Raw genomic sequence first — 23,282 nt, forward strand, 5'->3', positions numbered from 1 at the left:
AGGAAAAAAATAATGTGGGAGACTGGACAGAGTCAGGGTCCCCAGGGTGCCAAGTGTAGCTCAGAGTGACCATTGGTGAATCGCTTCATCTCCATGTGGAACTAAATGCAACTAAGTGATTTCTTAGGCTTTCCCCAGTCATTCTTAGTGAAAATATGGACTTCCCACATCAATTCTGAGTCACTTTCTTCCCACCTGGAATGATTACCATTTTTCTCATAGTCAGTGTATGCAGCAGCATATACCCTCATTTGCCTTTGGGTACATTCCTGAGTCAAGATACACAACAGGATATCACTGGGGCTGCAAAAGCCCCCGCCCCAAAAGAGACTTGGAAATATTACGCTCTTCATGAGGAATGTGGCTGTGCCTCTCTTCTCCCCAGACCTCTTCCTTCTTACCAGCTGGGTTGCTTTCTTTCTTGGACTCTAGACAGTTTCTAGCAAAGATACAAGCCATTGAGGAACTGAGATAAGAAGCAGAAAGGCTAGGACCAGAAGTCTCAAGCAGGGTTCCAAGGATTACCTCTACAGTCCTGAGCAAGGCCATGTTTGCATGAAACGATGAACGATGGGATGAGGAAATGACAACATGCAGTATTTCATCATAGTGTAATCCATGAAGCTACTGACACGTGGCAGGGTGAAGCATGAGGCACTAGACTACATAGGACCTGTATGACATGAGAACTGATGGAAGCATATGAGCATCTGGGGCATCTCAGAGCCAAAGGTAAAATTAAAATCCAGCCAATCACTAAAGACTAGGTTCCTATGCAGACTTTGAATTTTTAAAATCCTGAAGTTCTTTATCATTGGACTACAGCATGGCATCATCCCGTACCCATGGTTATGGATAAGTATGAAAATTATGAGATTTGAAATTTATAATTTAATCCCAGAAAGGGGATCTTCTATTTTCTGGCCAGAGGCCAACTCTCTGGAGATGTAACAAAGCCAACAGATTATGAGACCCTCATTGGTTTGCTTGAAGCAGAGCTCTTGAAATGTTGCAATGTAAATAACTTGTAATACCAGGACCACTTTGTCAGCAACCAGCAAAGGCTGCTTAGGGATATAGTGAATCTGCTCCTCAAGTAAATCCTGAGAAATTTAATGTCCTCCAAGCTTTCAGCTTTCTAGCTATGGCTCCTTTAGCAACTGCTACTGACTTCATGCCACAACAACAAGAACAAAAATATGGAGCTGCATTCTTTTCCATTCTCCATAAAACCAGCATCCAAACTGCGTTAATATGGATGTGTGAACATTTAGCACTGACATACATTGTTCTTACTGAGGAAAGCATTAGACAAAATATTTTCTCAATGAATCATTAGAGTAATATAACTAAGAGAATATTATATACATTTAGAAGTTTTTTTTAATCTAAAGCATGAGAAAATACTGTATTTGAAAGTTAGAAAACTGCATTTAGTTATACTAAATCAATCTGACTTTCACTCATCCTCACAAACCCCCTTTACCTTCATTTTGAATTAGAGAGCTTCTTATTGTTATATTATTTATAATGGAACTGGTATTCCTGGCTGGCTAATGGGCGAGCACACATTAATTCCAGGTTCAAAGGAAGACAAAGACCCTCTTCAGGGTTCTTTATTGTTTGTGCATCTGAGAAAATGCATTTATAGTGCAGTGACTCTGTGTGCACACTCCCAAAGGACAGAGAAATCATGCAGAAACTTCACATGCAGAGTTTGCAGAAAGAAATGTCAACTCATACCTAACGGCCACGGCTGCTGACATAAGAATGACAATAATTAGACTGGTACATATTAGAAGTTGCAACCGTTCTTAGAAGTAGGTATTTAATTAATGGCTTGATTTCATCATCTACTAAGAGATGGGTCTAAAAAGTATTTTCTAGCCTTTTTTGATGGGCTAAGAATCTGTACGGAGGATTGCTCTAGGTGTGAAATATAGCAATAGGTGAGATCACATAAGGGTATGTACTGAATTCACACAGGTTTAGATAAGAATCCTGAATTAGGTGATTTAAAGTCTAAGCTACAATAATAAAAAGACCCTACAATACAAGGCTAAATGACACAAGACATTGCCTTCTATTTCACTTCATAGGACAACTGGACTAAGCTAGGAGATTGTCCACAAGATCATTCAGGGACACAAGTTCTTTCCAGCTTGCTACTGAAGTCTTCACTGGGATATTAACATCATCTGCATGGCGAAAGCTGGCTTGTAGCCTTAGCTACAAGGCTAGGGCACAGAGGCAGTCCAGGGCAAACACTTGCCTTTGAGGGTAGTAAGACAAAGGTAGTACCCATCTATTCTGCTCTCATTCCATTGACCAGAGCTTAGTCATATAGCCATATTGAGCTATGTAGAGGCTGGGAAATGGTGTCTGGCTGGTGACCATGCCCCTAAGAAGAATAAAACTAGTTTGGAAGAGACAAATAGCAGTCTACTGTCAGACTTGGACTTTTCACTATTGAGTCAGTATTATTTTCAACTGGGCTTCTGATGTCAGAAGCACTAAACTGGCAAGCTCCATTTCTGGGAAAAGCTGTTAATGAAGTGAGATAGATTTGCTGCACTAGGCTAAAATTTTAGGTTTGTGGTTTTTACTGATGAGCTTAAAAATGCTTTTTTATTTTTATTTCAGAGACTGTCAAAAGTGAAAGGTAGCTTTTGATATATGAGAATCAGTTAGACTTCCATTGAGGTATTCAACAAACTTACAACTATACTTATACTGCTCACTACCAGAAATAAATTAATTTTCTTAGAAAACCAGCTCTATGTCTGTAAAAATAAAAATAAATTCTGATTTTTCTATGCCAGTCCATTTTCTCATGAACAGCTTGTTCTGCAAATCATCCGGGACTTTGTTAGTGTCATATCTGCTGCACAGCTTGAGGTGGGTGATTGATTGTGCAGTCAGGTTGAAAAGGACCAATCCTTGACAGAAGATGGCTAGGGGATCAGGAAGATAAAGGCATCTGGAACAATGAACTTTAAAAGAACTCAGTCTGTTCTCTGGGCTTCTTAAAAATATGAAATTCTTGGCCGGGCACAGTGGCTCATGCCTGTAATCCCAACACTTTGGGAGGCTGAGGCGGGTGGATCACAAGGTCAGGAGTTCGAGACCAGCCTGGCCAACATAGTGAAACCCCGTCTCTACTAAAAATACAAAAAATTAGCCAGGCTTGGTGGCAGGCACCTATAATCCCAGCTACTCGGGAGGCTGAGGCAGGACAGTCACTTGAACCTGGGAGGCGGAGGTTGCAGTGAGCCGAGATCGTGCCATTGCACTCCAGCCCAGGTGACAGTGCGAGACTCTATCTTAAAAAAAAAAAAAATGAAATTCTTAAAAACTATCAGGATCTTTAGCTAATTATTCTTTCTCTAAATCCCTTTATCTGTAGGTAGATTTATTCAATAGAAATCACTGGTGGCATGTCTTAAGATCACCAACTTTCTTTTCCTTTCCTTTCTAGGATAGCTGGCAATAAGTAGTGACCAGCTATATTTTTTAATTGTCTCCACATTCAAATGCCAGGAGCCCCATGGATTTTAATCAGGTTTTAGAAGCAGGCTGTTTTCTTTCTTGTGTGTTGTGCATTCCTATTGCCTCCCCCAGGCCTCTAATCTTGCAGAGTCCCCAGAAATTGCTCCATTCAGGAATGAATTGTTCCATTCAGATTTCTTCCTTCACAGGCACACTCTCAACCCAGGGAGGGACATGAGCAAGCCACTCAGGACTGAGCATTAAATCACAAGTTCACAGTTGCTTTCTTACACCCAGAGAGGCTTTTGTCTTATTTAGCACCATTGCTAACACATCTTTAGCACCTTATTTGCAATACAGGCAAGTTTAGGAAAGAATGTTAATATAAAGCTGGTTTGGCCTGAATGCCAGGGAGAGAAAGTCACAGTACACAGTGGGGTGCATATGTGTGTGTGTGTGTGTGTGTGTATGTATGTATGTATCATTAAAATAACAGCAGCTTCTCTCCAGAGCAATGTTCATACACACCATTAAACTAACATCCTTTCTTGCAAAAAGAACACCCACATATAGGAACCATGACTCCTCTATGAGAAACATAAAATAAAAATAAATTTAATCAATAGTTTGTGCTAGTAAATGCCTAAAGATAATGTTTTTGTGTGGTCACTTTCCTTATTTTTTTAACACAACATCCATTGACCTATACTGAATGTTCCATGTTGTTTGTACATACTAGATATTGCAGTAGTAAAAAGATCAAAACTGGGGAGAGGCAAAGGTATTTTTAAATTTATTTAAGCTTTAATTTATTCAGATATGTAAATTTTATTTCAGAGCTAGAATGGTTCATTTTCACCAAAGTGTACTCATTCATTCATTCATTTATTCAATTATAAACTAAATACTTATTAGGCACTGTTAAATACTTGAGAGACTACAAGCAAGTCTCCCTATTTTGAAGAATCTAACTCCATAACTCAGAAATTTAAAAAAATACTCATATATAATGCTTTTATAGCAATACAAAATAATATTCTTTAGAATTAAGAGCCAAATGGGCAGTATAGATACCAAGAAGATGGGAAATAGCACTTGAACAAGGTGGAACTTGAGCTGGGAGTTGAAAGATGGACAGATTGTGAATTTGTAGAAAAGAAAGAACCAGCCTGGCCAACATGATGAAACCTCATCCCTACTAAAAATACAAAAATTAGCCAGGTGTGGTAGTGCGCGCCTATAATCCCATCTACACAGGGGGCTGAAGCATGAGAATCTCTTAAACCTGGGAGGCAGACGTTGCAGTGAGCTGAGATCGCGCCACTGCACTCCACTCCAGCCTGGGTGACAAAGCAAGACTCCATCTGAAAAAAAAAAAAAAAGAGAGAGAGAGAAAAAAAGAAAAGGAAAGAAAGAGATAGTATTCAAGGCAGAGAACATAGAAAAATGTTCCCAGATGATGAGTTGGGATTGTATGAAGAAGTGTGATTAACATAAAAAGCAGAGGAGTAGCATGAAATATTCCTAGGAAGGTAGTGTGTGTTCAGCCTGAGTTGGCAAAGGTGAGGAGGTATAAGTGGTGTGCTACAAAGTATATCACCCTGAAAACTGACTCCACCATGAAGAAAGTATAGGAGGGAAGGGGTGTGGGGCAGGGAGTATATATATGAAGTCTGTATACATAACCAGGTTTCTAACATAATTATTTTAATTTCTAGTAAATGGGTATCTAGCACCCTTCTTTTTGTTTTTCTGTTCCTTTAAGCATTCTGATGGGTAGACAGATTCTTTGTAGCCAAGAGAAATTTTGTAAGGGAAGGTGGAAAAAATATGTAAAAGAGAAAGAGGAGGAGAATCTAATTCTCTGAACTGAACATTAGCCTAGAAGTGAAGGGTGCTGACATTGAAACCAGATTCCCTAGGTTTGTGCCCCACACTTCCATTCACTGGCTTGCAAGTTTACACAAGATGTTTAAACTTTTTGTTCCTTATTTTACTAAACAGTAAAATGATGATAACGTTAGTCCCATCTCATAGGGCTGAATATTGAGACCAAATATGTAAAATTCTTAGAAAAGTTCCTAGTACATAGTAAGTGCTGCTGAATAAATGGTAGCTATTGTTATTCTAATGAGGAAGAAGGAACTCAGGCAACCAATACATCAATTTTAGGGTGAGAGGAGGAAGAAGAAACTGAATAAAAATCTGATTTTCTTGGATACATTTAGTATTAAACAGTGCTCATCAAACTGTACTACTTCATACCAAGATGAACCACAAGCTCCCTGGATACGTGATTATTTAAGAAAAGAAAACCCTTGGTTCTGTTAGAACTGAGTTTCTCAACTGTGACACTATGGACGTTTGTTGGGAAAGAAAGGCAGATGTCCTGTGCATGGAAGGATATTTAATAGCATCTCTGGCCTCTATCTATGACATGCCAGTAGCCTCTCCTTCCCTCAGTCATCACAACCAAAAATGTTTCCAGACAGTTTTGTTCCCCAGATGTCACTGGGGAACAAAATCACCCCCACTCAAGAACTACTGTGTTAGAATAATCAGATGGAAACCCATTGCTTGAGTTTTTCAAACACAAGAATGTAGCCAAAATCAATACTGGTACCTTTAGCCTACACCCACTCAAATAAACCAGACAGCTTTCATCACAATGGACCTCACTGAGCAGAAACCACCCATCCCATATGCCAGTGTCAAAGGAAGGTAAGTGGTAGAATGCAGAGGTACCAACAGGGAGGAGGAATTGGAAATGCGTTGGTGACTTAGCAAGATTTGAATAGTGGTATTTTCTAAGCAACCAGAATCGCCTGAGTAATATAATCACCTCTGTGCTTCTGTAGAATGGGAAAATAAAAATAACAAACAAGAAAGGGTTGCTTTAATCTGTATCTCATGTGAATCCATTAGACACTTGCTGCTTCTTGCTTTTCCTGGGATGATTTGCTTTTTAAAGCAGCAGGCAGCATATCAGACAAAAAAACATCATGGCCTGGATGGTCTCTGCAGATGGGAAGCAAGACCTTTCTGACTGAAGGTGATCTGTCTCTGCCTAGAGAGTTAATATAGCCAGAGTTTTTCCCATCATAATGTATCAACTTTAGAAAGATTAATTTCAGCTAAATGGATATATGTTGTGAGCTCTGAGAACATTGAAAGCCCCATGCTAAGTTGCAGCTACTATGCAGTAGGTCTTAGTCATCTCAGGCTGCTGTAACAAAATACCATAGACTGGGTGGCTTAAGCAACAGACATTTATTTCTCTGAGTTTGGAGTCTGGGAAGTCCAAGATCAAGGTGCCTGCTGAGTGAGTTCCTGGCACGAGCTGTCTTCCTGGTTTGCAGAGAAATGCCTTCTTGCATTCTCACATGGTAGAGAGAGAGTAGGAGATTTATGTCTCTTCTTATAAAGGGATTAAAACTACAATGGTGGGGGGGCAAAACATATGACCTTGTCTAAATCTAATTACATCCCAGAGGGTTGACCTCCATATACCATCACATTGGGTATTATTAGGGCTTCAACATATGAATTTGGGGGAAGACACAAAATTCAGTCCATAGCACAGTGGGTACTCTCCAGTAGAATAAAAAAAAAAATTTAAGAAGAAATATAGTAAATGTAGAAAAATACAGACTCTGTTCAGCAAAACCAATGTATTCAAAATTCTAAAACTCTAGTGTTTACTGAGATATTTGAAATAACTTGCCAGGTGCGGTGGCTCACACCTGTAATCCCAGTGCTTTGGGAGGCCAAGGCAGGTGGATCACAAGGTCAGGAGATCGAGACCATCCTGCCTAACACAGTGAAACCCCATCTCTACTAAAAATACAAAAAATTAGCCAGGCGTAGTGGTGGGCGCCTGTAGTCCCAGTTACTCGAGAGGCTGAGGCAGGAGAATGTCGTGAACCTGGGAGGCAGAGCTTGCAGTGAGCAGAGATCGCTCCACTGCACTCCAGCCTGGGTGACAGAGCAAGACTCCGTCTCAAAAAAAAAAAAAAAAAAGAAATAACTTTAGTTGGCTATAGGCAAAACAAATGATTTGTGAAATGACAAAACATGATACAGGATTTCTGGAGAATTTGACACAGTACACAGAGAAAAGTTGCAGAAAGAATAAATATTCTTTCCTGACTCCAAATGAGAAAAGGTACTGCTCAGAGATAAAATTAAAGACAAGAAAATTGGATATCTGTTTCAGGAAATAAAACTAACATTTTAAATCAGATTATTGAAGTATCCCCCAACCTTATTATTTTAGGTTGATCTGCTAAGTAAACCCATTGGGCAAATCTTATGCAGGCAGGTAGCTAAATTAAGTGGCCCAAGAATTCTTTTCAATTTCCAATTTCTTTGACTTATAACACAATTAAGAAATTTATAATGAGGTGAAAAATAGAATTACTTAGAAGGGATATTATCATATCTCATTTGTATTTGATTTAAACTGAAACCTAATCACTTTGAAAAGCTTTGTGCTGACTGAGTTATTTTCTGCTACGTGGTGGATGCTCTTTCTTATTTGTTCACCATGGTCTGCTTTTATTTGAAATATTATGGTATTTAATAACATGTCTAGCCATAACCACAGAGTTTCTTACAGCTTTTAATATCAGCAACATAACTCTTCTACTCTCTTGACTTAGCATTTCAAAAGTGAGGTTCATAAAAATCCTATTTGTAGAGCAAACATCTAACTCCAATTTCATGTACCAAATTTGGTAGCCATGGATTTCTTTATCTCCAGTGCATTTGCATTAACATAAGATGATAATGTTGCTAGCTTCTCTACCAAATAACATTCTAGCATAAGCCACAGCAAGGGCAAAAGCCCAGCAAAATTCAAGGATGTGACATACCCAGAGAATGCTAATATTCAGTGTAGCTGAAAAACTATGTATGAATGAAAAGGAATATCAAATTCTCGTGTAAAATACTTATTTTGAGTTTGAAATACTTAATTGTGACCAAAAAATTGTTTCTTTTCATATAAAAATAGAAGGACATCCTGGAGAACTGTGGCTGTCTCTGGAAAAGGTACTTTTGACTTCAAAATGTCACTGAAGAATTTGTGCCAGAAGCCTCCTTGAAGGCACACTTTTGATGAAAGAAAAAAGGATTTCTGGTTTTGAAAGCTCTTTTTCTCAGAAAAAAAAAAAAAAAAAACCTTAGCAGAGGCACAAATTGAAAAATGTACAATATATGATCATTGAATCTTTTTAAAAGTTAGTGCTAGGCAAGAAAAGCAATGGAAGAATTTCAGACACTACAGGAAACTCCTCAAATTCATATTTCCCTCTTACTGGCCTTGAAACTTGAAAATGAATGCAGATTTATGTGTCCCCACCCATCAAGTTCACACGTTGAAGCCCCAGTACCCAATGTGATGGTATTTGGAGGTCAAGCCTCTGAGAGGTAATTAGTTTTAAACACGGTCATGTGGGTGCCCCCCTGACACACACCACTGTGGGATTAGTGCCCTTGTAGGAACAGACACAAGAGAAATCTCTCTGCACCAGAGAGAGATCCCTCACCAGGAACTGAATCAGTCTTACTTTGAGCTTGGAATTCCCAGACTCCAAACTGAGAGAAATAAACGTCTGTTGCTTAAGCCACCCAGTCTATAGCATTTTGTTATAGCAGCCTGTGCTAAGACATACTGCAAACTAGTAGACAGCTAGGAAAGCTGATAGTTATATTAACTTTATTATTTACTGTTCTTCCGTTTCACATTGTTTGTGGCAGATGAAGCTTGCAGAACAGTTGGAGCAATAAAGCAGCCCAGGTATTTGTGGTGTTCCTTGACCCACAGGCTGGGGCAGCCACCCAGCAGAAGTGGAACAATAGAGCTGTTGCCCCTCCTAGAGAAGCTGCTGAAAGCCGGGGAGAAACACTCAAAGCTTCACCCCTCCTCCTTCAGTCCAGTCTCCTGCCAGTGTCTCCCATCAGAAACCAGCTGGCAAGGCAGCCAGGAAAACACAGACTGCAAGGATCAGCCTCTTAGCATACAGGACACAGCACAGGGAGGGCAAGAAACATATTCAAGAGCAAACAAATGACAGGCACACCTTGAAAATAGTGGTCAAGAGACAAAAGTGCTTCTACTGGTACAAAAGTACTCTGTGTGCTCTCTCTCTCTCTCTCTCTCTGTGTGTGTGTGTGTGTGTGTGTGTGTGTGTTTTCTTAGAAGTTACTTTGTTTTGTTTTGTTTTGAGATATGATCATTACTATTTAATATGATCTTCTCAAGAAGCCCGGTAATATTGGACACTTCCTTCTAAAGCAGTGATAGAAGGATACTGGTATACTTCAAGAATGGATGGTAATATATGCATGAGATATATCTTTTAGTTCATGTATTGCTCTTAGGCATCAGTTGTAGCTTGCCTCACTGTGTCACCCAGGCTGGAGTATAGTGGCATGATTTCCACTCACTGCAACCCCCACCTCCGAGGTTCAAGCGATTCTCCTGCCTCAGCCTCCTCAGTAACTGGGACTACAGGCATGCATCACCATGCCCAGCTATTTTTTGTATGTTTAGTAGAGACGGGGTTTCGCCATGTTGGCCAGGCTGGTCTCGAACTCCTGACTTCAAGTGATCCACCCGCCTTGGCATCCCAAAGTGCTGGGATTACAGGCATGAGCCACCGTGCCCAGCCCCTTATTCACTCATTTTAATGGTGCACTTCTGAAATTTGCTCCCACCAAAACGGCACAACCATGGCCTTGTCAGCCTCCAAGGAATGTGGTGTGAACATGGATCATTCTAACCATACGGAGGCACAGTAAGACCAGGACTTAATTTGAGCCTCTGAACTGAGCATAGGGTTTAATGAACCACTTCTCCACTGTGATAAAGTATACTAGCAAAACTGCTATGGTTTGTATGCACAGCCTGCAGCTGAACCCATTACAGGATGCATTATTTGATAGGAGGTCTGAAAGACTGAAGAGCAATTACTCTCTACAACCAAGGGCAAATGGCAACTGTGGAGCTTGGCCTTTTCTCATTTCTTGGTTTCCTGAGGTCAGAGTTCTCTACAATGACAAAACCTCTTTGCTCTGGCTCATTTGAAAAGCAATGTCATTTTAAAGGTTAGATTTTGCGTGTGTGTGTATGTGTGTGTATGTGTGTGTGTGTCTGTGTGTGTAAGATAGAGAGAGGATTTTATAGTGATTTTTATGACAATCAATTAAAAAAATGCTTTGGAAACATTTATTGAGAGGGGTCACAAAGGTAAATGTCGTGTTGAAAGGAAACAGATAGTTCTGGCTCTTCCAAATCTGTTTTACCAGAACCCAAGGCCTAGGAAAGGGACAACAGTCCTCGATGAAGTCCATTACTGGGCCCTGAGAATAATCTTTCCTTACCTTCCTGCATATCATTTTCCTTTCCTCCTCTCTCCCCTCCCCTTTCCCCAAGATACAGAGCTGGCTGGGAGGCCAGCTTAACCATGTCCCACCCCCTTTCTCTCACTTTGCCCCAGGACAGTCAGAGCTAAACTCACAAAGGTGAAGCACTGATACAGGCCCCAGGACCAATCCCCAGACCCACCCTCCCTCCACTGCACCACAGGTTCCCACTGCCATTACCGAGCATGGTGCCCCCTGACCAGCCTTCACTCCTCAGCCCTTCTGAAAGCCCCCCAGCTCTTCACCCCAGAGACCCCAGCCCCATTCAAGTACCCATGGTCCTCTGCTTCAGTCTAGGCATTTTCCTGACATGGAGGCTCAAGCTCACTTATGAATATTTAAAGACTCATGATTTTTTTAATCCTTGAAGGCTACTGACTTTCTGAGCCCAACATCATCAACAAATAGTAAGGGAGTCATAAAGAAAATGCTTTGCTCACCTTTCATCTTTCTTTTGTGGCAAGTAAGAAAAAAGAAAAACAAACCTACTTCTCACAAAACCTGGATGTGACTGTGTGTTCAGGAAAAAAGAAAGAGATGGGGGCTGGTGGAGGCAGGAGGGCAGATGACAAAGGACACAGCCCAAGGTCATAAAAGGGGGTGGAAAGAGTTGTATAAGCCTTCACTCCCACCTCTCCACTTCCCAGAGGTCCAGTCCCTGCTCCTCATTCCTCCCGATGCCATTCCTGGTGCTTGTTGGAAAAGCAGGATCTCAGGCCCCACCCCAGACCTCCTGAATCAGATGATCTAGGGGTGGAGCACAGGAGTAGGTTTTAGCAAACTTTCCAGGTGATTCTAATGCCTGCTAAAGTTGAAAAGCAACACCATATGGTGCAGACACCAGTGTCTTGTGCACTGTTGTTTAATAAACAAACACTTGCTAATTTAAGTATATTTGCAAGGTCTTGGTGTGGCCCAGACTGCAAGCTCCCTGAGAGCAGAGACCATATCTTTCTTCATGCCTGACAATGCATTTGTTGAAGGGAAATAGAATCAGATAGTATTTTGCTTTTGTTTTTGTTTTCCACTTTAACCTTTTCTAATTAAAAGTTTCAAAACAGCAAGGAAAATCACAGTGAGTGTTGTTTAGAGAATGGTTTTGAGATAATATATCAATACCATGTGAATAATTAATAACATCAGTTTACCAGTAATATTAATACCTTCCAGTCATATAGTGGCTCTGTGGTTTTGAAAACTCTTCCATGAACATTTTTCATTTGATCCTCAAGAAATTTTGGCAGGAAAATGTATAGGTTTCTTTCTTTCCTCTCATAGAAGAGGAAGCAGAAGTTCAGAAAAGCTGAGAAAATAGTCTTGGTTTTCCTAATTAGGTACAAAAACTGGAACCCAGGACTTTGAGCTCCTACTCCATTGGAAAGGTTTGTATTCCAGTTCTGTTATATGTTATCGGATTGTTTCTAGTAACTTACCCTTGTAAGTCTTTATTTTGCAGTTTCTTCATCTGCAAAATGGGAAAACAATGGTTCCTATTTTAAAAGGTTGTTGTAAGAATTAAATGAAATGATAAAGGTAAAGCACTCAGCATAGGGCTGGCACAAAGATTTCTTTATTGTTATATGTCTGAATTTACATATTATTCATACAATCATTATATATTTATGATTATTGCACCACACTGACTCCCACTAGAGTGACCAATATTCCATACATGGTTTAGCAAGGCTGGGGTCTTCCTCGTTTCAGAAGGTGTTCCTTGCTAACTTAACAGGACATTTAGGCCTCCAGTCTGCCTTTCATGCCAGGAGTGTTTCTCACTGCTGCTCCCCAATGGATCTTTATGCACGCTGCAGGTTGGGTATCTTCTGTGGTCACAGTGCTTACCACCCTTTCTCATAGACAGGTTGCCTAGTCATTCCAAGCACATGCCTTCCTTAGCCATTGTATTGTTAAGTTGTTATGGTTAATTTATATTTATATTTATATATATATATATATATATATATATATATATATATATATACACACACACACACACATATACATATGGTAGAACCACAGCTTTTATCCAAATATAAAATAAACACATGTCAAAGATATTATTTAATTCTGGACTTAAAGAAGGGACCAGTAAGATGTTGCATAGGCTCAAGGGGATATTCAGTGAATGCACACATACAGGCAATCAGGAATGCAGAAATGAATTTACCAAGTTACAAAATGGGTTAACACCCATGGAGCAAGAATCAGATGCATGCCACCAAACACAATTTATTGGCATTTCTTTCTATTTGCAAGAACTTGTATTATTATTGGTTTTCCACCACCTACAGAGCTATAAAATAGCTCAAAGATGACAAAAGCAGAGATAACCTGGAAAGCTGTGCTGAACAGGGCCCCCAGTCATCTTTTCTGCCCACTTTGAAGTCTTTCGCAATCTTTCCTGACAGTGGGATCTCAAAAGAGTAGTTTAGTGTTGGAGGAAGAGAAGGTATCACTATATCCAGTTCCCTGCCTAGAAAAGAGGCTTCACAGTCCTGGTCTTCAAAAGGCCCGAGCGAGTTTTCTTCTTTGGTTCTCTTCTTCTCTTAATACCCTCTTCCCCTTTTCCTGAAGATTTCATCTCAAAGTTCTACAAAATCCACAAACTCAAAGTCCCACTCCTTCTCCTTGGAAATCCCAACTCTCCCATAGGACTCCCTTGGTCCTGTCTTAATATCTCACAAACCTCGGTGTTCAGGCTTTGGCTGAATGTCTGTGAAGCTTCTTTTCTCAGCCACCAGGAATACAAAGTGGGAAGAGAAGGTTCTGGTACCTAAGTGAGGGCAAGTAAGTACTGGGTTCTAAGTTTAGCTTCCCCTTCAACAAGCCTGATTGCCTTCCCACTAACCTAAGAAGGAAGCATATCTTGCCAAAGATCACTAATTCCCCCAGGACAATATAAATCTTGTCTAATTTGAGAGAAGGATATTTATTTCTAACAACATGACTTTGGCCTTGCCCTGTGAAAGCATAACCCAGTCATTCTTGAGCTGAGGAACGTCTTACCTTTTCCTAGGTCAGACTTTCATTCCTCTCCCTTTGTTGTCCAGAAGGGTGGTCCTTGCTTCATCTAGTTACTGTTGTTTTTCTTCCTTGCATAGAAGAAAAGAAATGTCCAGTTGTTTCTACCACACATGTGGTTTAAAAAATAGAATTTGACATTTTATAAAATTAGGAGATCAGAAGTTGTAAGACAGGCATGATGGAAATAGGTCTAAGTTTAGATTTAGACTAAGGGAGAATTGGATGTGGTGCAAGGTAGTTCCAGGACTAGGTGGATCAAGAACACTGCTTCTTGAGCTCTCGAAATATGTTCTCAGTACTGGCTCTCTGCAACAGACTTACCACAGAGAGGTGGATCAAACAGATCCTTCCAGAACATCCAGTTCTGCTTGCTTCCACATGCAGCTGAATTGACACTCCTAGATCTATGCATATTGAAGCATTTTTGGTTTTTCCAGGAGATATATTATTTTCTACTTTAAAAGATAATCAAGCATATGAATTTCTTACCAAGTTCCACATTCAACACAATGTAGGCACTTTCCCTCCTGTGCAAGCAGACAGCACATTGAAGACAAGCATTCACAGGAGCCTTGGGATATAGACCCACACTGGCCACAAAGTAGTTGAGCTATCTCAGGCACTCACATTTGGAGTTTCAGCTTTGTCATCTCCAAAATGAAGGTGCTGGACTGGGGTTCTTCAAAGCAGCTCTTCCACAATGTCAAAGTGCTAAGTAACTCCTAAGATATCCTCATCCTATCTGTCTGTGCTAGATCAGAAAGGAAAATGTGACTTCTCCAGCCTGGGGATGAATAGCCAGTCACACAGATGTCCTTTGCAGACTGTGATGGGGTGAACACTTGCCTTCCCTTACTGCAGACAGTGTCAGGGTATAAAAGGTTCTGTGGAAGAAGCTGCCAGCAACACACCCTAAAAGGGATGCATTGGGGCACTGGCATCACATAAGATGGTAATTTATTTTGTGCTTATATTCTGAGTCAGGCATTTTTGCCGTATTCAGTTTGTCATTCACTCATTCATTCAATCTCTAATTCTACATTACTGTTTGAGTACCTTCTATGTGCCATATATTTTGCTGAATTCTGGAGACTTAATGATGAACACACAGTTGAGGTCTCTGTCCTCATGGTACCTATAGTCAAGGGGGGATGTGAATAAGTGAAAAAGTTATAGTGAGTGATGTACAAGGCATATGTGGGCCTGCATGAGTGGCAACTAACCCAGAGGAAGATGGAAGAGACTAAGAGGGCCTGACACAGAAGCCATAAATGTGTTTTAGACAGATGGTACATGTGATGGCTACAGGTGATTTCTTGCAAAACTAATGAAGCTTAAGTTTAGTGGTGTACCCATAAACTGGCTCTTTGAAAAAAGGATGAAATTATTTAATAATCAGTGCTTTTGAGCCATACTGCCAGCTCCAGAACACAGCTAAACTTTGGGCCCCTTACTAAGACAAATCCCCTCTTAGTGTCTTAGTAATTCCCCTAGAGCAGGCTCTGAGACAGGAGTTTGCGCATAAGTAGTTTATGTGGGAAGTGAAAGAAATACCCATAGCAAGAGGGTAAGTGGGCTGTGAAAGGCAAGACAGCCAATAAAAGGTCTGTGTTCAAGCCACCTACCATTATGGGTTACCAGAGCTTAATCTTTCTTTAAAATTCTGAGAATCAGTATGGTAACAACCTGAGGAGAAAGGGAGCTGGGGTATCTATACTCCAACTTCTGTCAGTCATTGGCTCAGGTCTGCTCCTGAGTGTGTTATTTTCCTTTCATATTTTACCTTCCCTGACAGGGGGAGTGACCTTCCGTTGCTTTCACGAAAGCTGTAAAGCAAAGAGATGCAGATACTGACAGTTGGAAGTCAGCCAACAAGCACAGAAGTGGTAAGGCCTGGGGGATATAGACAGTATCTGGTACAGATTATCCCATACTTAATTATGTATTTGTAATTTGCGTTTTACTTAAATTGGGCCCTCAAATTTTTATGAATTTTAGACCTCACAAAACCTGAAACCACCTATAGTGACAGGCCTAACTTGCTGAAAATACAGAGTGTATGGGAAAATCAAAGAAATTTAAAAGCCCGTATCAGAATTGGAAGGAAGACGGAGGGTAGCAAGAGATGAAACTAGAAGCTAGAAAGTTGAAGCTAGAAGCTAGAAAGGTAAGCCAAGGCCCTATGAAGGGTGCTATGTTAAACTGGGCTTTTCTAGATTTGGCTGACATTTGTTGGTGTCTGCAGAACTCAGCTGGGTTCCTTGGGGCATCTCATTTCTGGGACAAACTGACAGAGCAACCCCTTTCTGGGATGGGCTCTTCCCAAGATGAAGAATAAGAACCCAAGAGGGCTGATGGAAGCTCACCATGCCTCTGATGTCTGTTAATCACAGCAGCACAGGTCAAATCTCCTTATATTCCATTGGCCAGATCCAAAGTTAGTAGGGCAAGGTACACCTGCAGGGAAGGACATAATGACTAAGTAAGAACTGTAATACAGCCTACTACTGGATTTTCACCAAAATGTTAATAGTGGAGATAGCGAGATTTCTGATCATTTTTCCTTTAGCTTTTCACTATTGTTAGAATTTGTAATAAGAATGTAGCAATTGTACCAAAAAATATGAACCTATTCTTCTAAATAATAAAAGATTATATCAAATATTGAAGAGCATTTTTAAGGATATCTTTTTAAATTTTTCCTTTTTTAATGTGTTATTTATAAATGAATTAATATACATATAAAAGGCCTACCCCCTAAACTTCCTAAAACTACCTATTAGCATTTATAGCATGTGTAACTAATCAGACTTTATTATGTTCCTGTTTCTGGTTTCTTAGTATTACTCTCATTAAATTTTTTTATTTTGTATATGTCTTTGTAAATCACCTGGAAGTACTTTGTGATGTTAGCTAGGAAATAAAGAAATAGATTATTTAGAAACTAGAAAGAAAAGTAGTTGGAGGGAATCATCCTAATAATACGCAGCCCTGATAGCATATACAAATCACCTGGAGATTTCTTTTTAATACCTCTGATGGAGACTCTAGAGGTTCTAATTTAATGTTTCTGAATTGGGCTAATTTTTAAAAGCTCTCTGAAGGTTGAGAAAAATTGAATAAATAAATGATTAAATTAAGTGAAAAAAATAACAAAAGGGCCAATTATATGTGAAGAGCAAAAGCAGGTTGGGAAGTTTCTTTACAAACTTGAAGTAGGCTGTGATACTAAAAAGCCAAAGCTCCCAAATATTAAAAAGAATAAGGGAAATGGATGCAGTAGAGCAATATTAGCTTCCAGAATTAGAAAGGGCCTGCTATTAAGATCTGTTCGAGCTTCGCTGGGTGAGGAAGAGTGAGTCATATTCTCTCTGATACCTCATATTCCCACATACATCCCAAATCAGACCCTAATCGACAATTGTTTTTGTGGGTCACTGAGGTGCATTTTGTGGACTGTTTTTCAGAACATTGTGATTAAGCAAAAGTCTGTCATTCTCCATGAGAAGAGGCTGAACTCATAGGCGATTACTTACACACCCAGAACAGGAGAGAAGGAATACTAGAAATATTGTAGAAATGTGGTTTGTTCACTTGTTTATAGCTCTTCAGACTTAAATTATTTTATTCTGTGCAGAGTTCAGTTGTTTATGTGTGAAACATCATAAAATATCAAAAGCTCTTTTATCTTGATGTCTCATCCCAGCTTTTTTGAGACTCCTCTTTAATATTTGATAAGAACCAAAATAGGGATAAATTATGCTTTCCTCCTCTTTCTTTTTTACGTTTATACATAAATGTTGAGAGAAAGCTTGAGGTATTTGTTTTGTTTTGTTTTGTTTTAGCTAAATGGCAAGTAAATAACAGGCTTTTTAGTAACTATGATCTGGCACTGGTAAGGTCTGAGTTAACTGCCATTTGCAGAGTAACCATGGTGACCAGCATATGGCTTCTGATTCCATTAATCTTGTTGAGATTAACAGTAAATCCCAAAGGATCTTTTGCAGTGATTCAGAAATAAATCATCTTTTCACATGTATACTGTTTGGTGACAGCCACTCGCTTTCAGTGTGTGTCTCTACCCAACAAAGAAATAAGACAGTCTCTCTCATGAGATGATTGGAAATGTGTCCCTCAAATAAGAAATTTCACAAAATACATCCAATGGTGAAAAGGTAAATACATATAAATACCATGTGAAAGGAGGATTTATTCAACAAACATTTGTCATACCCCTGATAGACACATAAGGGGAAGGTCATTTACTCCCAGTTAAAAATTTATTTGTATAGAACCTCAGCCTGGAGATATGGAATGGAAACAAAATTTGAGACTCTTTAATGAAAAAAATCCAATTATTATTTCAATTATAGGAATTAGAAATGATGAATTAAGCTGGATTTGGGAAGAGGAGCAGCTGGCTGCCCAAGAGGAGACTAATAATGTGTTCTATGTGTAACGAGATGTTGCAACTTAAAAAGTACAGTGTGGCCCTACCTAAAACCATATTTGGCCTACAACAGCCCCAGAGCATGTAAAATAATAGCCTCATTTTACAGATGAAGATACTGAACTAAACAATTCAGAGTGACTTCCCCATACTCACTAAGTATTAGAGCTTTCTCAAACTGGCGGAATAAATTGTTGAGTCTGAGTTGGAAGGGATGGGAACTGAATTACTATCCCAGCATTCTTCTGATGCTAATTCCTATTACAGTGTAGACAAAATATGCATAACTGTGGGTCTTTCTCAACTCATGGAGTTTATACTTCCTCATCTCTAAGTTTTCCTTGGTTAAAGGAATACTCCGAGCTCTTATTTCAACCTAGACCTTCCTACATAAAAGAAATATCAAGAACACAATAGCATTTTACGAATTCTAAGATGCACAATTTTTCTTACTTACCCATCTACGGCTGGGCACGGTGGCTTGCGCCTGTAATCCCAACACTTTGGGAGGCCGAGGCAGGCAGATCACTTAAGGTCAGGAGTTCAAGACCAGCCTAGCCAACATGGTGAAATCCTGTCTCTACTTAAAAAAAATAAAAAAATTAGCGGGGTGTTGTGGTGCATGCCTGTAATCCTACCTACTGGGGAGGCTGTGGCGTGAGAATTGCTTGAAACTGGAAGGCGAAGGTTGCAGTGAGCCACTGTACTCCAACCTGGGCAACACAGCAAGACTCCACCTCAAAAAAAACTGTGACATTGAGATATGCCTTTTCATCAATGGCTTCTTATGATCACTATGCAGCAAGACCAAATGTAGATTTCATTGCTCGTACATGCACTAACTTGGTCATAGCTGCTTATATTGCCAAAGTCATACAGTTATTGGTACGTGCATAGAAAGTTATTGTGTATGCAGAAAGAGGTATAAATTTCATTTTAGTGACATGAATACTCATTTTGGAGTAATGACCATCATTTTACATTTTCTTGCAAAGCAACAACATAGTGTTCTACAGGACCTAAGAAGGGAAGATACAAACAGATCTTGTATGTTAACCTACCATGCACTAAGCACTGAAACTTAAAAAAAAAAAAAAGCTAAATCTTTCAGAATGCATGAAAGGAATTTCAAAGCAACAAGAAGCTGACATAATTTAATTTGCTACATCCTTTTGTTCTTGGCCATTGTAAAATAGTTTTGATCCTATCATTTATATTAGGTTTTATGATAGGTGGTAATTCACAAATCACCCAACATGGCATTGATCTCCTCTTGCTGATGGTGGGACTGTGCCTAAAGCTCCCTTCCCTGCTCTGCTGGTGCAGAACAACATCAGGAAGTCCAAGTAGTCAAAACCAAAGCCAAACATTGAACATTTGCAACCCCAATTTCAATCATAAAATTAACCAACTCTAATGGCAAATCAGTCTTTTGTTCATCGTAGCACAAATGCTCTAGACCACAATTTTTATTTCATTAAAAAGAAAACTGGTCTCCTTTGGCTCTCTAAGATTTCAAAATAACGATTCTTTGTAATTCCCTAGCAATTGTAGAAAATATTCATTTTACATTATTTCCCGACAATTTAGAACATTTGAGGTTACATTGAAATATTTCTTATATAAGAGCAAATGAAGAGGATGGATCTCATATAATCATGGCCAAATAAGTATATTCTTCTTGGTCATATATTTTTATAAATCATTGAGGAGCAGGGAATGTTGTATGTGCATAAATGTATAACCTATTACAGCAGCCTGAGACCCCATGGGTTATTATTATGTCAGCAGAACTGAGATACTCGGATGTGTTTAGTGGTAGAAGCAAGCATTCCATTAATTTGGTTAAGGGACATGAATCAGCTAGTAGGTTGTGAGTTATGTACCTTCCTGACCTTCACAAAAGGACACCCTGACTTGGGTTTATACAGTCAGGGGTGCAGTAGGATGTACTGGCCCAGGTCAGAAGAGTGCCAAATTTCCTCAAGGACTCATTTGTCCTCAGGAAACTCAGAAGCTGGGTCATTAACACCCTGGCCCCAGGTCCTTCCTTACACAACTGTGACACTCTCTGGTGAACCCCTTGTCACTAATCTCACTCTGGGTATCTGATTTCTAGCTTTACTACCAGGATGAGAACTTTTTCTGTTAACATAAGTGTTCTCTACCCAGGGCCTTTCCAAGCCCCTGGCTTACAAGACCTATAGGAACAAGAGATCATTTCTTTTAATTACATGAAGAAATCTGATCGGATGTGAGATCCTTTAAAAGAAACTTTTGACTTCGTTTGTAAAAATATATTAGCATTTGTTACTTAAAGTGTTTCCAAGAGTGGAATTTATTTTACACCCTAATTCATTATGAATGCATCATTTTTCATATTCTGTGTACATAAGATTAAGTGAGGAAAAAGAATAGAGTTTAGAAGTTCTGTCTTTATTTCTCCAGTCCTGCCAAATCTCACTGTTGCTAAGGGAATATATTATTAACTTAGGTATCAGAATTAGAAAGGTCGTATTGTTCTGATAAAATATGCTATGACTCTGAGATGTCCAGGTGGAATCAAGAATATATTTCCCCAGATAATTTAATCTCATTTGAAAACTTAGATGTACTTGGTTCAGGGGAATATGCTGAAATAAAACCCTATCTGCCTCTTCACTCTTTCCTTTCTTCTCAGGAAGGAGAAACAGTGATCATAGCTCATTGAAAACTCTCCTGCTGTAGTTTAAAAAGCTATAATATTTGCTTTTTATTCCCTCTTCAAGTTGAGAACAGCTCATTGCCACTTTCTATTCAATGATCCTTCACTTGACTATTGTTTGTAACACCATTCCCAAGCTTTACTTTTTGACATGTTACAAATCTGTTTTTTTTCAAACTTTAATCATTTGTTTACGTTTCAACATTTCAATATTTCTCTCCTGACCACCACCAGGTAATATGTCTTTCCCACCTATCTTAGACTGTTCTTAAATAAAAATGTGGCTGATATAAAGGGAGAATTAAAAAACATAGCTTCCTCTCAGCTTCCTGTAGATAACAATAAATGCACTAGAACTTCAGTTTTTGAACTTTTAATGAGTATCATGGAAATATGTTTTAAAGCACAGGCTTGAGAGCCATACTGCCAGAACGTGACTCCCACATTTGCCACTTTACTGGCTGAGTGATCTTGGGCAATTAACCACTCTATGCCTCATTTTCCTCAACTGTAAAATGGGCATAATAATATTCTCCTTAAGTTATTCTAAGGATTAAATTAATGCAACAGATATTAAGTGTTTAGAAAAATACCTGCGCTTTTTCTCTGCCTGGCATTGCTGGGCCTGCAGGTCTGTGTCAAGCCATGGATGAGGGTCTTTGTTCTGCAGAATGGGGTTTGTTAAAGTTGTTAAGAATGAGGCCTATTTAAGAGATACCAAGTGAAATTTAGGAAATGACAAGAGGGTAGAACTGATTACTATACTCAGAAACACTCTGTGATACAGGATAAAAATAAATACAACACACTCAAATACAGGGTGATAGTCTGTGTAACAAACAGAGATATGATTTGTCAGATTACTTATGCCCATATAGAAGGGGATACGGTAGTCTGCGCAGCATATGTACATGGTACATGAACTACCAAAATAAGGTGTGAAGGTTGGCCTGACAAATTATGCTGCAGCACATTATACTGGCCTGCCACTGGCCCACGGGCTTCTCGGTAGGTTTGGCATGGACAGGATCTATGAAGGCCAAGTGGAGATGACTGGAGATTAATGTGATGTGGAAAGCATTGATGGTCAGCCTGGTGCCTTCACCTGCTATTTGGATGTAGGCCTTGCCAGAACCATCACTGGCAATAAAGTTTTTGGGGCCTTGAAGGGAGCTGTTGATAAAGGCTGTTCTGTCCCTCACAGTACCAGATGATTCCCTGCTTGTGATTCTGAAAGCAAGGAATTTAATGCAGAAGCGCATGGGAAACACATCATGGGTCAGAATGATGCAGATTACATGCATTACCTAATGGAAGCAGATGAAGATGCTTACAAGAAACGGTTCTTTCCGTTCATAAAGAACAGCGAAACTTCAGACCTGATGGAGGAGATATACAATAAAGCTCATATTGGCTGGGCACGGTGGCTCACAGTCCCAGCACTTTGGGAGGCTGAGGTGGGTGGATTGCTTGAGCCCAGGAGTTCGAGACCAGCCTGGACAACATGGCAAAACCCTGTTTCTGCAAAAACAATTTATAAAAATTACCCAGGCATGGTGGTGTGCACCTGTTGTTCCAGCTACTCAGGGGGCTGAGGCGGGACGATTGCTTGAGCCCAGGAGGTCGAGGCTGCAGTGAGCCAAGATCATGCCACTGCACTCCAGCCTGGGTGACAGAGCGAGACCTTATCTCAAATAAATAAATAAATAAAACAAAAAAGCTCATGTTGCTATACAAGAGAATCCAAACTATGAGAAGCCCAAGAAAGAAGTTAAAAACAGCAGGTGGAAACATCCCAAAATGTCCCATGCCCAGAAGAAAGATCAGGTAGCTCAAAAGAAGGGAAGCTTCCTCAGACCTCAGGAGCAGGCTCTGAGAGCTAAAACAATGTTCTAGGATGATTTTTCAGACAAAAACAATAAACTTTTTTTATTTTATTATTATTACACTTAGTTACATATGTATACATGTGCCATGCTGGTGTGCTGCACCCATTAACTCGTCATTTAGCATTAGGTATATCTCCTAATGCTATCCCTCCCCCACCCCCCACCCCACAACAGTCCCTAGAGTGTGATGTTCCCCTTCCTGTGTCCATGTGTTCTCATTGTTCAATTCCCACCTGTGAGTGAGAACATGCGGTGTTTGGTTTTTTGTCCTTGCAATAGTTTACTGAGAATGATG

The 23,282-nt window shown here is 39.7% G+C and overlaps 1 protein-coding gene and 1 pseudogene across 2 annotated transcripts in view; both read left to right on the plus strand.

The window, feature by feature from the left end:
- Window positions 1-23,282, plus strand: part of RAB3C (RAB3C, member RAS oncogene family) — a 277,243-nt gene that overhangs the window by 218,582 nt on the left and 35,379 nt on the right. The gene's annotated exons all lie outside the window — the stretch shown is intronic.
- RPL5P15 (ribosomal protein L5 pseudogene 15) lies at window positions 21,708-22,515 on the plus strand (annotated as a pseudogene).

The sequence above is a fragment of the Homo sapiens genome, chromosome 5 (genome assembly GCF_000001405.40).
Source record: "Homo sapiens chromosome 5, GRCh38.p14 Primary Assembly".
Classification (NCBI taxonomy): Eukaryota; Metazoa; Chordata; class Mammalia; order Primates; family Hominidae; genus Homo; species Homo sapiens.